The sequence below is a fragment of the Homo sapiens genome, chromosome 16 (assembly GCF_000001405.40).
Source record: "Homo sapiens chromosome 16, GRCh38.p14 Primary Assembly".
NCBI lineage: Eukaryota > Metazoa > Chordata > Mammalia > Primates > Hominidae > Homo > Homo sapiens.
In genome coordinates this window covers 12,938,027-12,958,116 of record NC_000016.10, presented here as the reverse complement: position 1 = coordinate 12,958,116, position 20,090 = coordinate 12,938,027, and the positions used below count along the sequence as shown (strand labels likewise).

General features: G+C 42.3%; 1 protein-coding gene and 1 long non-coding RNA gene across 7 annotated transcripts in view, besides 1 other annotated feature; one reads left to right on the top strand and one right to left on the bottom strand.

Annotated features, from left to right (window-relative positions):
* The window catches only part of SHISA9 (shisa family member 9), a 661,420-nt gene that overhangs the window by 604,901 nt on the left and 36,429 nt on the right, over positions 1-20,090 (bottom strand). The window lies entirely within an intron of this gene.
* LOC105371092 (uncharacterized) lies at positions 609-19,976 on the top strand. Its single transcript, XR_001752088.3, has 3 exons — positions 609-737; positions 15,282-16,096; positions 19,863-19,976. It is a non-coding gene; the product is annotated as an uncharacterized LOC105371092 (long non-coding RNA).
* Positions 17,234-18,433: an enhancer, noted in NCBI's record as "P300/CBP strongly-dependent group 1 enhancer chr16:13033541-13034740 (GRCh37/hg19 assembly coordinates)". NCBI's record gives its function as "activates an origin of replication core promoter dependent on BRD2, BRD4, P300/CBP, MED14 and CDK7 cofactors, with strong dependence on P300/CBP, by STARR-seq in HCT116 cells {active_cell/tissue: HCT116}" and the evidence as "EXISTENCE:reporter gene assay evidence [ECO:0000049][PMID:35650434]".

The following is a 20,090-nucleotide window of genomic DNA, read 5'->3' as shown; positions in this document are numbered from 1 at the left end:
GTGTAGCAACTAGACAGCATTTTGTTTCCTCTACCTCTGCTTCAACCAATTAAACTGCTTTTATCTGTGTTATGAACTGAATGTGCACCACCAAATTCATATATTGAAGCCCTCATCCCCATTGCGATGGTATTTGGAGGTGGAATCTTGGGGAGGTCATTAGGCTTAAATAAGGTCTTGAAAGTCGAGCCCCCTTGCTGGTATCAGTGTCTTTACAAGAATAGAAAAAGACCAGAGCTCTCTCTGTCTCTGGATCATGTAAGGACACAGCGAGAAGGTGGCCATCTGCAAGCCAGGAAGAGAGCCCTCACTAGGAAATTCAAACCCAGCACCTTGATCTTGGACTTCCAGCCTCAAGAACTGTGAGAAGAAAACAAAAAAATACGCTTGTTGTTTAACCCTCTTAGTTTATAGTATTTTGTTATAGAAGCCTGTCATAGACTGAATGTTTATGTACCTCCCCCCAAATTCATATGTTGAAATCCTACCCCTCAATGTGATCCTATTAGAACATGGTGCCTTTGGGAGGTAATTAGGATTAGATGATGTCATAAAGGTGTGAAGCATTTGTGAATGGGATTAGTGTCCTTATAAGAGTTCTGGTAAAGGTTACTTCCCTCTCTGCTCCCTGCCATGTGAGGACACAGAGAAGTTAGCAGTCTGCAGCCCAGAAGAGGACACTCACCAGAACCCAACCACGCTGGCACCCTGATCTCAGACTTCCAGCCTCCGGAATCGTGAGAAACAAATGTCTGTTGTTTATAAGCCACCCACTCTATGGTATTTTATTATGGCAGCCTGAACTGATGAAGACACAGCCCAAGCAGACTAAGAAAATCAGTTATAAATTATGTTTCCAAGCCCTATGCTTGTAGAAAGGGTTCAAAAGAGGCTAAAAGAAGTTTGAAAGACATTGCTAGAGAAGAATGTCAAGGTGCCTCTGCTGAGCTGTGAAAGGGAGTCACCAATGACAAAGCAGCATTTATTAATACAATATGATTTCATTTTGTAAGGGAGAGGGAAGGAGGGAAGGAGGGAGAAGAGAGTAGATGAATACTCTCCAAAATGATACCTGTGTTTATCTGTAGGTGATAAGAGTAAAGGTTATTTTTCATTTATTCTTTCAGTTTATCTAAACATTAAATATTTGGTGATGAATATATATACATTATTGTTAATAAACATATATCTATAACTTTATCTAGGTTTCATATATATCTAAAACTGAAAAATAATGCACAAATACACATTTTTTTAACTTTAGATTTGGGGGGTATATAGGTATTTTGTGTAATGGTGGAGATTGGGCTTCTAGTGTACCCATCACCCAAATACTGCACACTTTACCCAATAGGTAATTTTTCAAAGCTCAGCTCCCTCCCATTCTCCCCTCTTTTGGAGTCCCCAGTGTCTATTATTGCCATCTTTATGACCATGTCTACCCATTGTTTACCTCCCACTTACAAGTGAGAACATGATATTTGATTTTCCGTTTCTGAGTTAATTCACTTGGGACAAATGGCCTCCAGCTGCATACATGTTGCTGCAAAGGACATGATTTCATTCTTTTTATGGCTGCATAGCAGTCCACAGTGTATACATACCACATTTTCTTTATCCAATCAACCATTAAGGGACACTTAGGTTGGTTCCATGATTGCTATTATGAGTAGTGCTGAAATAAACATGAATGCAGATGTATTTTTTATATAATTATTTCTTTCCTTTCAGGCAAATAAAAATGGTGTTATTGCTGGGTCAAATGGTAGTTCTATTTTTAATTCTTTGAGATATCTCTATACTGTTTCTCATAAGGGTTAAACTAATTTACATTCTCACCAACAGTGTATAAACATTCCCTTTTCTCCACATCCATGCCAACATCTGTTGTTTTCTGATTTTTAGTAATAGCCATTCTGACAGGTGTAAGGCGTAGCTCAGTGTGGCTTTAATTCACATTTCTCTAATGATTAGTGCTTATTGGCTACTTGTATTTCTTCTTTTGAGAAATGTCTGTCACGCCCTTTGCCCAGTTTTTAACGGGGTTGTTTGTTTCTTGTTGAGTTGTTTTAGTTACTTCTAGATTCTTGATATTACTCTTTTGTCGGAGGCACAATTTACAAATATTTTCTCCCATTCTGTAGGTTGTCTGTGTACTCTGTTGATTATTTATTTTGCTCTGCAAAAACTTTTTAATTAAAGTAAGTCTCATTTCTCTATTTTTTGTTTTGTTGCATTGGCTTTTTGGGTCTTCATCATAAATTATTCACTTAGGCTAATGTCCAGAAGAGTTTTCCCTAGGTTTTCTTCTAGGATTTTTATAGGTCCAGGTCTTAGATTTAAGCCCTTAATTCATCTTGAGTTAATTTTTGCATATGGTGAGAGTTTAGATGTCAGTTTTATTTTTCTGCATATGGCTAGCCAATTCTCCCAGTACCATTTATTTAAAAGGCTGTCCTTTCCCCATTGTTTTTTTTTTTTTTACTTTGTTGAAGATAAGTTGACTGTAGGTATGTGGCTTTATTTCTGGGTTCTCTATTTGTTCTATTGATCTGTGTATCTATTTTTGTACCAGTACCATGCTCACATTTTTTTTTTTGGCCTATAATAAATAAATAACTCATGGCACCTTGAGAAAAAGCAAACTCAAGGTCTTTGGGACATGAGTTTGTCTCTAGGAATACAACCTTCCACTCTACCCCAGTGGGAAACACACTCAGAGGCACATCTGCCCAGAGACTGAATGTGCTGGTTATTCTCTAGGGTGTGTTGATCACCAACCAGCCTAGAGAGGAGGCCATTGGTTGGAGGGGTCACTTGGCAAGAAAATGAGGAAGCAATGGCCATTAAGTGAACCAAACTATGGAGGAGAAAAAATACTTGTGTCTGGGAATTGGTGGAATCCAGCCAGTCCTGACATGCCCATTGTCTAGAGCCTTTGTCAGGGACAGCAGAGACAATCCCACAGGAAATAAAAGTAGTTAAAGATGTAGAAGGAGGCTTACAAAACTCTCAGGGAGAAATCAATGGAAACACTAGGCAAGAATAAAAAAAAAACAGCAATGCACACCTCCTGGCTTCAGTTTTGTCATCTATTAAAAGGAGATAACCCTGTACCAGGCTATTGTGAGGGAATAACACAAATAATATTGTGTGGAACTGTCCATCACATACCGAGTGCATAGTAGATGCCCAATAAATGCATTTATGCATGCTGTGCCCTCTGGATATGGAAATAACACATGTGCACATAGAAAGATGAGTGATAATAGCATACTGCTTAATACTCTGGCCTTTGGAATTCAGATCCCCAGGCTGTAATCCCCGTTTCACTGGTTAATGGCTGTGTAACTCAAGATGTGCCATGTACCCTCTACAACTGTTTCCTAATCTGTAAAATAAAAATGATAGTAGTATTTATTCCACAGAATATATTTTAGGATTAAATAAGGTAAAAATATAAAATAGCATAAAATCTATTTAGCCCTTAATATGTTCCTAAGAATTAGCTGCCATTATTATTCATTAAAATGTCTAAGAACCAAGGAAAAAGTTCTATTTCTACTAGGCCACATGGAAGGTGTCAAGAGGCACTGAGGGAATAACCTGTCCTCCATCAAACCCTCCACACACACACTGTTCCCCATGTAATCTTCCAACCACATGCACATGATTCCCCATGTAATCCTCCAACCACACAAATCCAAACATATCACCCTTTATTTAAAGTCATTCAGTGGTTCCCCATGGCCCTCAAGATAAAATCTGAGTTCTGTATGCCCATGTTTCTGTCTAAATTCTGCCCACATTTGCTGTTTCATAAGTTGTTATTTGCCCACATGCTCCCTATGCCATGTTTAGACACTTCTACTTCCCTGGGCACACCACATCTCTACGCCTTTGCACAGGCTATTCCTGCTGCTCAGCCATGCCCTTCCTGAGGCCTATTTCCTCATTTTCCACATCTTCAGTCCAACATTGTCTTCCTGCAAACTCGTCCTTCAAGTCTTAAATCATCTCGCCACTTCTGCTGAGTGGACTTGGCTGTTAATTCCTTGTTATGGTTTGACTCTGTGTCTCCACCCAAATCTCATCTCAAATTGTAATCCCCACAGGTTGAGGCAGGGACCTGGTTGGAGGTGACTGGATCTTAGGGGCAGTTTCCCCCATGCTGTTCTCATGACAGTGAGTGAGTTCTCACAAGAGCTGATGGTTTTAAAGTGTGGCACTTCCTAGCTCACTCTTTCTCTCCTACCACCTTATGAAGAAGCTGCTTGTTTCCCCTTTGCCTTCCACCACGATTGTAAGTTTCCTGAGGCCTCCCAAGCCATGTAAAACTGAGTCAATTAAACCTCCTTTCTTTATAAATTACCCACTCTCAGGTAGAATTTTATAGCAGTGTGAGAATGAATTAATATATTCCCCCACTGTCTCAGACTGACACAATATCTTATCTAATATTTCTCAGCAAGCCTGAGCCCCAAGGCTGTCTCTACTTGTAGGCAGTAAAAGAGTAATAGGTCTTATTTATGCCTACTTGATGCTCATTGGGTGCTCTAGGAATGAGAGATTACAATAAATCAATGAATCAAATATTCAATCAATCAATGTCCTTATGCTTTCTGTTGGTTAAGAGTGCTTGGTGTTAGGTGTCTGGCTTCAAAGTCCATCCTAGCACTGATGAACAAGGCATCCTTTGGCCAACAGCTTCATCTTTCTGTGCCTCAGGTTCTCATCTACCAAATGGGCTCATCATAGTTCCACATTGCATTGTCATGAAGAATAATCAGTCAATGTCTGCAAAGCACTCCAAACAATGCCTAGCACAGAGTAGGCACTATTTGAGCTTTGGCCTTTATAAGCTTTGGCTGTTTTTTGTTGTTGTTGTTGTTGTTGTTGTTGTTGTTGAGGGGTTTTTTTGTTTTTCTTTTTTTTTTTACTTTTTTTTAAGGTTCCTCTCAAGGGCCACTTCCTCAAAGAGATGTCCCCTGACCACTCTATCTAAAAGAGACATCCCACACACATCACCTTCTATTCCTTTGTCCTTCTTTATTTTTTCACAGCCCTTATCTTCCTGAAGTTGCATACTTTACTATTTATTTACATATTAGTTATTAGTCTTCCCCATTAGCATGTAAGTCAGGAGCTGTGCCTGCCTCATACACAGTGCCTAAAACACACTCAGTACATAGTAGGTGTTCAATAAACATTTGTGAAAGGAAGAGGGGGCAGAAAGGAGGACAATGTATTAGTTGTTCTCACAGTGCTATAAAGCTACTCCCTGAGACTGGGTAATTTATGAAGAAAAGAGGGTCAATTGACTCACAGTTCTGCATGGCTGGGGAAGCTGCAGGAAACTTACAATCATGGTGGAAGGTGAAGGAGAAGCCAGGCATGTATTCGATGGCAGAAGAAGGGAGAAAGAGTGAAGGAGGAAGTGCCACTTTTAAAACCATCAGATCCCGTGAGAACTCACTCATATCACTAAAACAGCATAGAGGAAACCACCCCCATGATCCAATCACCTCCCACCAGGTCCCTCCCTTGACACATGGGGATTACAGTTCGGATTACAATTCAACATGAGATTTGGATGGGGACACAGAGCTAAACCACATCAGATGATGTCAATTCTGACTTTAAGGAACAAAAGGATTCTAACAGGAGGACACTGAAGACAGAGGAGATTATCCCAATATATCAATGGATAAAAACTGGGGAAGACTCAACCACACGTCAGCTGAAGGGCCCTCTGGGAGATCCTCCACATTTGTGAGGAGGGACCGTGCCACGGGGCTGCCAGAGGAGATGCACAGGCCCAGTGGAGACATCCAATTCCAGCCTAAACAGGTCACAGAAAGTTCTCTGGAGACCAAGAATCATTTTGATGAAGCAATTCCACCTTGGGAAAGCATGAGCTGCAGTGCTGCTGTTTCCCCAGGATTTTGTATTAATTAGCTCCTGGCCTAGGGCATTATATGTTAATTGCTCTCAATTGAAAAATTCCATGTTTACGTCTGCATTAGCAAAAGCTGGGGGAATGTGTTATTTAAAACAAAAAAAAATCATTTAAGTCCCTAGACACTGCCTCCGCCTTCCAGGGTAGACCAGTTGCACAGACCTGCAGAATACCAAGTAGCATCTTCAAATGCCATATTGACATGCATATGTTCCTTTCCTCCAATTGTAAGAAGAAAATAAATGTTTGGTTTTGTTTGTCCTCCTGCATATTTCTCCATCTTCAGCCTCTGAGGCAGGAGTGTTTCATACTCCAAGCTCCCTGAAGTGAAGTTCCCTGCTCCACCGCAACCCCTAACAAAGCTTCTTCCTTTAAAGACAAAGTATCTAGAGGTCAGTGGTGAAGGCAGGGAAGAATCACTGGAAAAAGAATTCTTCTCTAACCAGGAGAGAAATTGAACTATAGAGGACACACTGGTGGTTCCTCCCCCAGATCCTTTTACCAGGCAGGTGCACCCCTCCCCCACCGCCATCCCCAGCCAATATGAGTACTGGCTGCTAACAGTTCACAGCTGATTTTTTTTCTACAGCAGAGGTCAGTGAAATACAGTCCATGGGCCAAATCCAGCCCAACACCTGTTTTTGCAAATAATGTTTTCTTGGAACACAGCCATGCCTATTTGTATATATTTTATGTGTGGCAGCTTCACCTCTGCAACTGCAGAGTGGAGTCACTACAACAGAGACTGTGCACCCTGCAAAGTTGACAATATTTACAGTCTGGTCTTTTATAGAAAAAGTGTGTCGACTTCTACCCCCCAGTGATGTTGCCCAAGGGAAACGTAACGAGAGCCACAAGCGTGAGCCAGGTGTGTAAGTTCAACTTTTCTTTTTTTTTGCTTTTTTGCCTTTTTTTTTTTTTTTTTTTTTTTTTTTTGGAGAAGGAGTCTTGCTCTGTCACCCAGGTTGGAGTGCCGTGGTGCGATCTTGGCTCACTGCAACCTCCACCTCCTGGGTTCAAGCAATTCTCCTGCCTCAGTCTCCCAAGTAGCTGGGATTACAGGTGCCTGCCACCACGCCTGGCTAATTTTTGTATTTTAGTAGAGATGGGGTTTCACCATGTAGGCCAGGCTGGTCTTGAACTCCTGATCTCAAGTGATCCACCCGCCTCGTCCCCACAAAGTGCTGAGATTACAGGTGTGAGTTCAACTTTTCAAGTAGCCACATTTAAAAAAAAAAAAAAATTAAAAGGGCCGGGCGCAGTGGCTCTCGCCTGTAATCCCAGCACTTTTGGAGGCTGAGGTGGGTGGATCACAAGGTCAGGAGATCAAGATCATCCTGGCCAACATGGCAAAACCCCATCTCTACTAAAAATACAAAAAAAAAAATTTAGCCAGCCGTGGTAGCTAATAATCCCAGCTACTCAGGAGGCTGAGGCAGGAGAATAGCTTGAACCCGGGAGGTGGAGGTTGCAGTGAGCCGAGATCATGCCACTGCACTCCAGCCTGGCAACAGTGACACTCCATCTCAAAAAAAAAAAACAAATTAAAAGGTCATATGGTAGATCTATTTTTCGTTTTTTGAGGAACCTCCATGCTGTTTTCCACAGCGGCTGTACTAATTTACATTACCACTAACAGTGCACTAGAGTTCCTTTTTCTCCACATCCTCACCAGCATCTGCTATTTTTTGCCCTTTTGATAACAGCCTTTTAACTGGGGTGAAATGATTTCTCATTGTGATTTTGAGATGCATTTCCCGGGGGAATCCCACTGCTGGGTATATATGCAAAAGAAAAGATACTAGTATATCAAAGAGATATATGCACTCCCTTGTTTATAGTGGCATTATTCACAATAGCCAAGATATGGAATCAACGTAAATGTCCACCAAAGAATGGATAGAGAAAATGTGGTATATATACACAGAGGAATATTACTCAGCCATTAAAAAGAATGAAATCCTGTCATTTGCAGCAACATAGATGGAATCCGAAGACATTATGTTAAGTGAAATAAGTCAGGCACAGAAAGACAAATTATTGCACGTTCTCACCTGTATGTAGGAACGAAAAAAGTTTATCTCAAGGAGCTAGAGAATAGAACGGTGTTTACCATAGGCTGTGACAAGTAGTGGGGAGGTGGAAATGGGGAAAAGTTGGTTAATGGGTACAAAACTGCAGCTAGATAGAAGCAGTAAATTCTACTGTTCAGTAGCACAGTAGGGTAACTATAATTAATAACAATTTATTACATATATCAAAATAGTTAGAAGAGAAAATTTGGAATGGTCCCAACACAAAGAAATAATAAATGTTTGAGGTGATGGATGTCCTAATTACTATTATTTGATTATTACACATTGTATGCATGTACTGAAATATCATAAGTACCCCACAAATATGTACAATTATTATGCCTCAATTAAAAAGATAATATAAAAAATAAGTGAACTTAATTTTAATATGTCATATGTTTTATTTAACCCAGTATATTCAAAATATTATCACATTAGACATGTAAGCAATTTTTTAAAATTATTAATGATGTTGACATCTATTTTTTCAACTAAGCCTTCAAAATCCAGTGTGTATTTTCCACTTACAATGCACCTTGATTCAGACTAGCCACATGTCACATGCTTTGTAGCCACATGTGGCTAGGGGCTGACATTTTGGAAAGGCCTGCTCTAAACTGTACCCCTTGGTTGAATAGGAGGTGCCTCACCCAAACATTTTACCTCCCTCTCCTCAAGGAGCAGTCCACAGCCAGTGACTACTGACATGGAAAAATAAAAGGCCAACCCCATTGCCTCAAAGTGGGGCTGACTGTGGTGCAGTTCACGCTCCAGAGCTGCCCGTGGAATCAGGCTGTGGCTGGGCTCCAGTGGAGACCTCGTTCTTGACTCACTTGCTTCCTTGCCCACTCTCGCAGCCATCACTCCCTTCCAGACTTTTCCTGCTAGTACTCCCATAATACATGCTTTGCATAAGAATTCCTATCTCAGGCTCTGCTCCTAGGGAACTTTCTTAATACAGGGAGAGAAGGGTACAAATATCTACTGAGTACCTATCATGCATCAGACACTTAATTGCCATTATCTCATCCTACCACACAGCCATGCAGTGGGAAATATTACTAATATTTTAAAGATAAGGAAACTAACACAGATGAGTATATCCAGCCACATGGTGAAATATTATGAGGTTATTTGAAATTATATTACAAAGGTATATAATATTTAAATGCTTATGGCATAATGTTGGTTTATTGGGAAAAATAAGACAAAAATGCATGGTGCAAATATGTGTTTTTTCAGATATGAACATTTTTTAAATCCTAGAAGGATATTGCTATGGTCTGAATATCTGTGTCCCACCCCAGCTTCATACATTGAAATTCTAGGCCCCATAGTGATGATATTAAGAAGTGGGGCCTTCAGACGTGATTAGCTCATGAGGGTAGAGCCCTTGTGAACAGGATTAATGCCTGTATGAGACAGATCCTAGGGAGCTTGTTTCTCCCTTCCACCATGTGAGGACACAAGAAGTCACCGTGTATGAGAAACAGGCCCTTACCAGACACTGAATCTGCCAGCACCTTGATCTTGGACTTCCCAGTCTCCAAACTCTGAGAAATAAACTTCTTTTGTGTGTGAGCTACTCAATCATGGTATTTTGTTATAGCAGCTCAAACAAAGACAGAAATACACCACAATGTTGTCAATAACTTACTTGGGGCAATTAGAATTAATGGTTGTTGGTTTTTCTTCTACTTTCTACCATTCTGTATTTTCCAGTTTTTCCAGGGTGAGTAAGTCCTCCTTTACTGATGAGAGTGGCTCTCCTTGAGTGCAGTATCATATAATAGTTCAAGAGCTTGGTTTTGTTTAGAAATAGTCAAACCAGGGTTCAAATCCCGGCTCTGCCACTTTCAAGTTCTATGACCCTGAGCAAATGAGTAGACATCTCTAAACTTCAATTTTCAGATATGTAAAAGGGCTAATGGCATAGATATCATAGACGCATTATAAAGATTAAACTAAGCACCTTAAACACAAATCCTGGCACACAATTGGTTTGGCACACATTGTCTAGTACACAGTCTTTTCTTACTAGGGAAAACAATAAATGGAGGCTACCTAGCCCCAAAGGCTATGGTGTTTATCCAACCCTATGCTTTCTCAAATGTGATCCACAGATTCCCATCATGATCTTCTAAACCCTGTCGATTCAGGTGGCCCCAGGTTTGGCAACAGAACCCACAACCGGCAATTTTGAGTCAAGGAACGGTCACTACTTGGGGGATCACTCTTGCTCCCATCTTTGCAAAATTATACCATTTGTGTTCTATTTCTCAGAGGAACCAGGCCTCCATTTCGCAGCTATACACTGATACCTTCAAGGGGCAGGGAGTTCTTTCCTTCGTGTGATTAATGAGACTTAAATTGGCCCAGTGATAGATGAGTTATCCTAAAAGCATCGAATATTTAAAACTGAATTCTCCTTTGACAAAAATAGCCCGTGGATTTCAAGAGCTGCTGTCCCGATGTCCCTGTTAGCCACCACGTGATGTCTCCCCAAGCTGAATGAATTCCTGCTAACTATTCACCAACATCGAGGACTGAGATATCCTTTTCTCCTTTTGCTGCTCTGATGAAGGCAAAGCGTGTGCTTTACATCTTTATCTTAAGTGACCAGACTTGTTTATAGCTGCTCCAAATAATTACGTTTGAATGCATTTGCGTTTAACATGCCCCAGACCATGCACTCCCCTGATTAAGGGTTTCTAAATGGAATTCTTCCCTGGAAATGAGCCTTAAGTGGATTTCTTCACTTAAACAAGCTACTGTCCCAGATAGCCACATGGTCCTTGGAGAGAAGGATCTGTACCTTATCACGCTTGTTTGCTACAGTCATATACCTTTTTCCAGGTATACTTGCTTCTCCTGTACCTGCATTAACCCACTAGTCCTTGAAGGTCTTCCAGCTTTCTCACCTCTAACCCAAACCTCGCCATTTCCCCACATCCCAGAGTAAGAGTAACACCCACCTTGGGACCACCCAGATTACAGTGAACCCCTCTTATTTCTCTTATTCCCCTCGACCAAATGCTGGGAAACCTTTTGTTAAAAGGCCAGAGAGTGAATGTGTTAGGCTTTGAAGGCCATACAGTCACTGTCACAACGACTCAACTCTGCTATTGCAGCAGAAAAAGCCATGGACAATACGTGAAAAAATGAGCGTGTCTGTGTTCTAGTAAAACTTAATTTACAATAACAGGGGGCAAGCAGGAATTCCCCCATGGGCTGTAGTTGCTGCCTCCTGCCCTAGAGAACTGCAATGGCCATGCAGTGCCCTGCTCAAATGCCCTTCACCAGCTGTTGAGAATGTTGGTTGCTAATGGCTCACAGCTGCCCCCTTCTCCGCCATGGCTATTGAGAATGTCTCTTCTAGGAAATTACTCGGCCCCCAACCTCCAGCCAGAGGGACAGCCAGAGCCGGGGACTGACTGACACAAAAGTTCAAAACACCAGCCACTTGCCTCAAATCAGGACCAACTTGGTGTTACAATCCATGTTCCAGAACTTTCTCTGTTATCAAGCTGCAGCTTGTCTCCAACCAAGACTATCTCCTTGCTTGGCTCTGTTCCCCTGCCCTACCTTCCTTCCTTGCTCTCCTCCTTCTAAGAGAATCTCCTCGATAAATTAAATGCCCCCAAATCCTTGACTCAGGCTTTGCTTCTAGGAAACACAATCTAGCTCCATGCTGGTATTGTCTTTTTACTTGGTTCCCTTATGCTTTCAAGTTGTATCTTTCCCAATAAGACTATGAGATTCTATAGCCAAGAAAATCCTAAGCAAAAAGAACAAAGCTGGAGGCATCACACTACCTGACTGCAAACTATACTACAGGGCTACAGTAACCAAAACAGCATGGTACTGGTACCAAAACAGATATATAGACCAATGGAAAACAACAGAGACCTCAGAAATAACACCACACATCTACAACCATCTGGTCTTTGACAAAGCTGACAAAAACAATCAATGGGGAAAGGATGTACTATTCAATAAATGGTGCTGGGAAAACAGGTTAGCCAACTCATGTAACAACCTCCCCCTCCCAGGTTCAAGCAGTTCTCATGCTTTAGCCTCTCAAGTAGCTAGGATTACAGGTGTGCACCACCACATCCGGCTAATTTTTGTATTTTTAGTAGGGTTTCGCCATGTTGGCCAGGCTAGTCTCAAACTCCTGTCCTCAAGTGATCCACCTGTCTGAGCCTCCCAAAGTGCTCATCTCGTTGCTCTGGGGGAGCCAGGATGTGTGAGCCACCACACCTGGCCATATTCTCATTCTTAAAAGGAGATGTGTATGTATATACCACATTTAATGAGTTCTTATTATAAGCCAAGTACTCTACATATATCATCTCATTTAAGTCTCAAAACAACCCTATAAGATATTATCATTCCAATTTTTCAGTTGGGAAAACTAAGGCCCAGGGAGGTGAACTAACTTATTCAAGGCCACATAACTAGTAAGTGGTGGAGTCTGAATTTGAACCCAGAACTTGTTCTTGTAACAATTATTTCTACAGACTTTACATAGAACAAGAAAGAAATGCATTAAAATGTGTCTCCTTTAAGGATTTTTTCCCTGTACTTTTCACATTTTCTTCAAGGAGTACCTATTACATTTATAACCAGGAAAAATAACACTTATTGATTTTATAAATAAAAATAAAACAGAGTTCTCTCTTCCAGGAATCCAAACGAAATATCCATTCCCATTCATCATGTTTCTCAAAGGCATGTCTATTGGCATTCAGAGTGGATAATTCTTACCTGTGAGGGGCTGCCGTATGTGCTGTGAGATATTCAGCCCCTGCCCACCAGATGTCCTGTATCAGACACTGTCAGTTCCCTATAGCGATCCTTCAACACTCACCTCCACACTCAAGAGTGCCAGCTGCAAACACCTGGGGCTCTCTGCCTGGTAACTTTGCTCTGGCTAAAAAACACACGTGGTTCTCACCCAAAACAACCAGAAGTACTAGAGTGTCAATGCCCCTGGAAGCAGCCCTCAAGCAATGTTGAGCTAGAATTTGGTGGATAAGCCCCCCAGCTTCCTTGCTCTTCAATTGCAATGACTCTGGGGCACGTTCTTCTTGCTCCCCCAGAGTTCTCCAGCAGGACTGAGCTCCAGTTGCCCATGGTTGTAACTGGATGACACACCCTTGATGGGTTTCCCTATCTCACTTATGCTCACCTAACAGTGTTTCCTGGGATCAACTCTCAAATAAATTATTTGTCCTCATATCCTTGTCTCAGCATCTGCTTGTAGGAAAGTCAAACCAAGGCAGCTCCACAGGATACTGATACTGAAAAAAATTCCTACGTTTTTCCAAACAGTCTTAGGGAGGTGTGGAGGGTACAGTACTATTCCTGCATAAGGAACATTTAAGTTCCACAGCTGCTTTCTAGCTAGAGAACTTAGGCTCCAAGAACCCAATGCCAGGGTCATTTCATGGAACGCTACCTTCCCAAAGTCCTTCAAACCTCTATGCCTGCTGCCAACATCCCATTCTCCAGCTATTTCAATCCAGTCTCTCCCTGCAGGTTCAAGATTCACCAGTGACTTTTAGTTCAAACGTGCAAGGTCAACAAAAAAAGCAGAATAATCCATGGCTTTGGGCTCAGCAATCTTCCAGGAAGAAACAATCATCATCGTAACAATGCCAGATGCTAGCATGTATTGACTGACTGTCAAGTACCTGAGAGAGGGTGATGACATAAACTTTGAATTTTAGGTTTCTTCTAGAAAGAAATGTTGCTGCTTGGAGGTCAAGACAGCCTAGAAATAAGAGTTCAAAGCAAATTAATTCCCTTAGTCAATAAAGATTTATTGAGCATCTCCTAGGTGCCAGACATTGTACTAGGCTGAGAAATTAAACAGTGACCAAGTCACACAAGATTCCTCTTCTCTTGGAAGTCATATTCTAATACAACAGTGGTTTTCAACCAAGACAATTTCACCCCTCAACAATGACTAGAGACATATTTGGTTATCATAACTGGGTGGGAAGCGAGGACTATTGGCATCTAGTGGGTAGAGGCCAGGAACCCTACTAAACATCTTGCAATGCACCAGCAGCCCCACAACAAAGAATTGTCTGACCCAAGATATCAATAGTGTTGGGGTTGAGAAATAAATAAATTATTAAAAATGTAAAATAATGTAAAAATGGAGGGGAAAGGCAGAATGACAATAAACAAGTAAGTCAAGAATTTCAAGATGTGAACCCTGAGCTAGTGTCTTTATCTTAGCTTTTGTTATTAATCTGTAAAATAGGATCTATATTAGATGAGCCCCTCATCAATATCTACAAATGGAGGCAGGGTGTTTTCTAACAGGCATGCCCAGAACAGAATGGAGGTCAGCTGTGCACCATGGCCAACAGGAGACAAACTTTCTACCTCCAGCACATTCCAGAGCTCAATCTGATGCTCAGTTTCCTGACTGTTACCTCTAATCAACCCTACCCTCCTTCTGTAAGGAGAGATGCATTCACTTGTTTATTAAGGCAGTTTACACATCTTATCATTTATTTATTCCACCTCATTTCACAAAGGATTTAAGACAGCAAAGTAAAATATAAATAAACAATCATACATTCAAAACAGGGAAATATAAATTAGAATAAGGGGTAGGTAGAGGTTTCGTCATTGTTTTCTATTCTGTTCTCTGAAGATCTCCCCTGAGGATCTCTCTCTCTCTCTCTCTCTCTCTCTCTCTCTCTCTCTCTCTCTCTCTCTCTCTCTCTCTCACACACACACACACACACACACACACACACACACACACACACACACACACACACACCATACTCTGTTCCATTATAATTCTCTTCAACCTGTGAGATTTGGGTGGAGTTGACCCCACCCACTCCAACAGTGGATACCTGAACCCTGACCAACCAATCAGAGCACCACCTCCCCTCGTCACAGTGACTGGTGCAGGAATGGGCATGCGACCTATCATAGCCCAATCATGGACTTTCCAAGGGTTTTCAACAGCTGTAGGGAAATGTGCTCTCTCCTTCTCTGGAGCCTGGAGCTGTAAGGACAATTCTGGTTTGCAGCTGCTGGTGACCATCCTGCCACCACAGGGAAAGAGCCTGTCTGAAAACTAAGCCAAGAGAGGCACACAAAATCTAGAGATAGAGCCATAAAGTCAGAGCCCCGAGAACATCTGTTGAGACCTACGTGTGCCTAAAGGTGAGAGACACGTCCCAATAAACTCCTCTTTTTCTTTGCTTTAGGTTTCTGACCCTTGAGCCTAAAAGACTACGGCATACTACAGGGCATATGCCAAGATGAGAGCAAAATGGAAAACAGAAAGCAGATGAGGTGGATGCAGTTTCAAATGTGGCTGTGCGCTTCTGGGTAAACAAAGTGAAAAGGGAAATTCGGTCAACTACATTGTTCTCATTAAGCATGAAGTGAGAATGCTCAAGTTCCTTAGGACCAGCAAAGCTTTTTTCTAGCACTTATTTCTCAAAGCACAATAGGCATTATACAAGGAACTACTGGGAGATATGGAGGATGCTGTCTTCATTAACTGACACTTTGCAGCGAATTCAATAATGGGATGTATAAGGCTGCTGTTCAGAGCATCTGTTATGAACACTGAGGGACTCATGCTTCCATGGTTGGTCAACTTGATTCTGTGCAGTTGGAAGAAAGGCAATGTGGTCTGAGTATGCCAGCATCCAGAGGCTCTCTGCAAGTGTCAGTGTTCCAGGAACTGGTCCCCAAACATTTTAGCCACAACTGACTCTCAGCCCATTTCTGCCCTTTCCCTCTCAGTGCAAGCTCATTTGTACCAACTTCTGAAGGTTCCACTCTCCCGTCCCGAGGAGGGAAATACAAGAGAATTGAAACCTCCTGCCCTTCATCCCTGAGAAGGGTTGCACAGAGGTGCCTGCAGATGTCAAGAACTGTCCTCCACAGCATCCCTGTTCTTTACCTCCTGTCTCCATGATTAATTCAAGCTGTTGGGATCTCACATTACCATCAGGCTGTCACTGCACTGAGGGTCCCAAATGGCTCCAGCCCAAGCAACAAATTAATCCAGGTAACCTATCCTTACAAAGCCAAACAGAAACAAAAACAAAACCCGCCACTGTGCCCCCAAACCTGCATTGGAGTGGTGATGCTTTGATAAGGTTTAAATAAGACCTAGTATTTGATAGCACAACAGGGTGACTATAATCAAAATGACTTATTTGTTTATTTAATTTTTTTGAGACAGAGTCTTGCTCTGTCACCAAGACTGGAGTCCAGTGGCACGATCTCAGCTCACTGCAACCTCCACCTCCCGGGTTCAAGCGACTCTTCTGCCTCAGCCTCCCAAGTAGCTGCGATTACAGGCATGTGCCACCAGGCCCAGCTAATTTGTATTTTTAGTAGAGATGGGGTTTCACCATGCTGGTCAGGCTGGTCTCGAACTGACCTCAGGTGAGCCTGCCTCAGCCTCCCAGAGTGCTAGGATTATAGGCATGACAAAATAATTTAATTGTACAGTTTTAATTTTATATTTTAAAATAACTGAAGGAGTATAATTGGATTGTTTGTAACACAAATGATAAATGCTTGATGGGATGGATACCCCCATTTTCCACGATGTGATTATTATGCATTGCATGCCTGTATCAAACTGTATCAAAATATATCATGTACCCCACAAATATATGCAACTATTATGTATCAAAAACATTAAAATATAACAATTAAATTATTTTTTTTAGATGGAATCTCACTCTGTTGCCCAGGCTGGAGAGCAGTGGCATGATCTTGGCTTACTGTAGCCTCCGCCTCCTGGGTTCAAGCAATTCTCCTGCCTTAGGTTCCCAGGTAGCTAGGATTACAGGCACACACCACACCTGGATAATTTTCTTGTATTTTTAGTGGAGACAGCATTTCACCATGTTGGCCAGGCTGGTCTCTAACTCCTGACCTCAAGTGATCCACACACCTCAGCCTCCCCAAGTGCTGGGATTACAGGAATAAGCCATTGCACCTGGCCAAAAAGTTTTAAACATTTTTCTAAAGGTACATTCCAACTGTGTGCCTCACTCAAGTGCCACAGATGAAACCAGGTTGGTAGCAAAACATGATAACTGGTGACGGTAGGGAAGACAGGGTTTGGCTTTGTTTGTTTCTTCTTGTTTTGTTTCTTTCTTTTGCCTGTCTTAGGAACTGTGCCAAGGGTTTTACATGCATTATTCCATTTCATCTACACAGTGATCTAAGTAACTGGATAGTAACACCACCATTTTTTAAGAGAGGAAGGAGGAGTAATGCACCTCCCCCGAGGTTACACCATTAGAAAGAGACAGAACCCATGGATTTGAATGCATATGTTGGAAACAAATGCTCAGTGCCGCAAAGACACTAGCACTGAGACAAAGGACAAAGCATCTCTCAGCAAGGCAAATTTACTTCTGTAGAAGGGTGCATCTTGCATATGGAGCAATGGTGAGAGCACACAGAACAAAGGAAAGCAGGGGTTTTTATTTTCTCTAATGCAGCTTCTGCCTCTGTGTCTTTCCCCTATTGGCTAGGGTTGGACCGCACAGTCTAAACTAGTCCTGATTGGCTTGACATTTAAACTTTCTTAGATAAGGCAGGCACATAGTGAGGTGAGAAGAGAGAGATGGGGGGTCATTTATGGGGGGACTAGGAAGGTAACCTATTCCCGAATAAGGAAAGGAATGTGGACTGGGGTTGTAGCAAGTTCAGGCATGCCTAGGCATATTCAGACAAGCTGGGGTGCAGCAAAGGCAAGGGGGTATTTGGAATTATAGTATAGAGAACAGGGAAACTGGATAAGCTGTTAGAAGAGGGAAACTAACTGTATCTAACAATGGCAAGATGGGCCCCCAAGCCCAAGCTCTGGCCTCTGCCTCAGACCTTGGAAAGTGACCATGATGGAACCACAAGCAGGCAGAAGAACACTCTGCCCCTCAAGATCATCCAATCAAAAATTCTCTCCTCCCCAGCAGGGTTAAAAGTGAAACACACCATTAAAATGTGACCCTTGGGAAGGGTCAACCTTTAGTTGCCTACAGAGTAAGAATTCGTTGGTTGGATAATAATGACTTTTAAGGCAGTATTCCTGAAAATATGGCCTCAGGACCACTGACATCAGAATCACCTAGGAGGAGGATGAGGCTGTCAAATTTGAATATATCACAGCCCCAGTCCCAGATTTGCTTTCTCAGCATTGCTGTCTCAAGAGAATGAGGTTCTGCGGAGAGAACTTACATTAACAAGCACTTGCAGAGAATCTGTTCTACAGCATCTACAGCAGGTATATGCCAGATGCTGAATCACATCTATCCTCTCTATGATGTTTCATTGAATAGCACAATAGACAGGGAGAGGCAGGTGATGGGGAAAGAGGAAGGTTGGGAAAAGTTGATGGAGTGGAAAAAAAGCACAAGTCAGACAGATCTAGGGATTCAAATCCCAACATAGCCACTTGGACAAGTGACAACCTCCGTGAGTATAAATTTCCCATGGGGTTGACTTAAATCATAAATGAGAACTATGGTCCACGCTCATTCTCATAGTCAACTGCAGGATTCCATTCAAAGTACAATGAAAAGGGCTTGTGACCAGTGCACACAAGGGTTGTATTTCACCAACAACAAACCTCTGGGAGGAAAAGTATGGGCCAATCAGGGATATTCAAAAGAAACTACTTCCTGGCCAGGCGCAGTGACTCACTCCTATAATCCCAGCACTTTGGGAGGCCAAGATGGGTGGATTGCCTGAGGTCAGGAGTTTGAGACCAGCTTGGCCAACATGGTGAAACCCCGTCTCTACTAAAAACACAAAAATTAGCCAGGCGTGGTGGTGAGCACCTGTGATCCCAGCTACTCAGGAGGCTAAGGCAGGAGAATCGCTTGAACTTGGAAGACAGAAGCTGCAGTGAGCCAAGATTGTGCCACTGCACTCCAGCCTGGGTGACAGAGGGAGACTCCATCAGAAGGAAAGAAAAGGAGAGGAGAGAAGAGGAAAGGAGAGGAGGGGAGAGGAGAGAAGAGATGAAACTACTTCCTGATGGAGTTTTTCCCCCAAAACATCATCTGAATGTACTAACTCAATGAATATCCACCCTCAATGCTTACTTGGAACATGGCACATACTCAACATGGGAGGGAGAACTTAGAAGTATTTGCTGCCCTCAATGTGTTTTCAATCTAGTTAGAGAGAAAACTACAGACTCCTAGGAAAATTAAGATACACCACAAAAATCAAAGTCAAAGGCAACATGGCATGGAAAGTCAAAAGGCAGAATGGCTCACGCCTGTAATTCCAACACTTTGGGAGGCTGAGGTGGGTAGATCACCTGAGGTCAGGAGTTCAAGAGCATCCTGGCCAACATGGTGAAACCCCCTCTCTACTAAAAATACAAAAAAAAAATTAGCTGGGCGTGGTGGCAGGTGCCGGTAATCCCAGCTACTCAGGAGGCCGAGACAGGAGAATCACTTGAACCTGGGAGGCAAAGGTTGCAGGAAGCCAAGATCATGCCATTGCACTCCAACCTGGGCAACAAGAGTGAAACTCCATCTCAAAAAAAAAAGAGAGAGAGAGAGAGAGAATTAGCCCCTAGGAGTCAATAAATGTAAGCTGACTTGGAGAGAACAGAATTGAGCACATCACTAAGAAAGAGTCATGGGAGTGGAAGAAACAGATAGATCGATTATAAGGAGCTGAGCTTTGCCTTGAGTTCTCAAAATGTGTAAGACTTGTCTAGCAAGAAAAGAGAGAGGTATTCCAGGGAGAGTTGCAGTAAGTCATTGATAGCCCCACTATGGTCTCAATTCCCCCAGGCTGCTGAGCTTCTGGAAGATGAAGAACTGACCCATCGGAAAATATACAGATTGGAACAAGCATAGCTTTATTCTTCCCCTTCTCGGGATGGACCCCAACACCTAACCAAGGCTTTCCCTCTTACACTAAGCTTTGAGGACAGCCATGGCCTCATAAGAATCACAATCCATTCTACAAGTCCAGCAACAGTTCATCAAGGAGAGACTGGTGGCCACTGGCCAAGATCT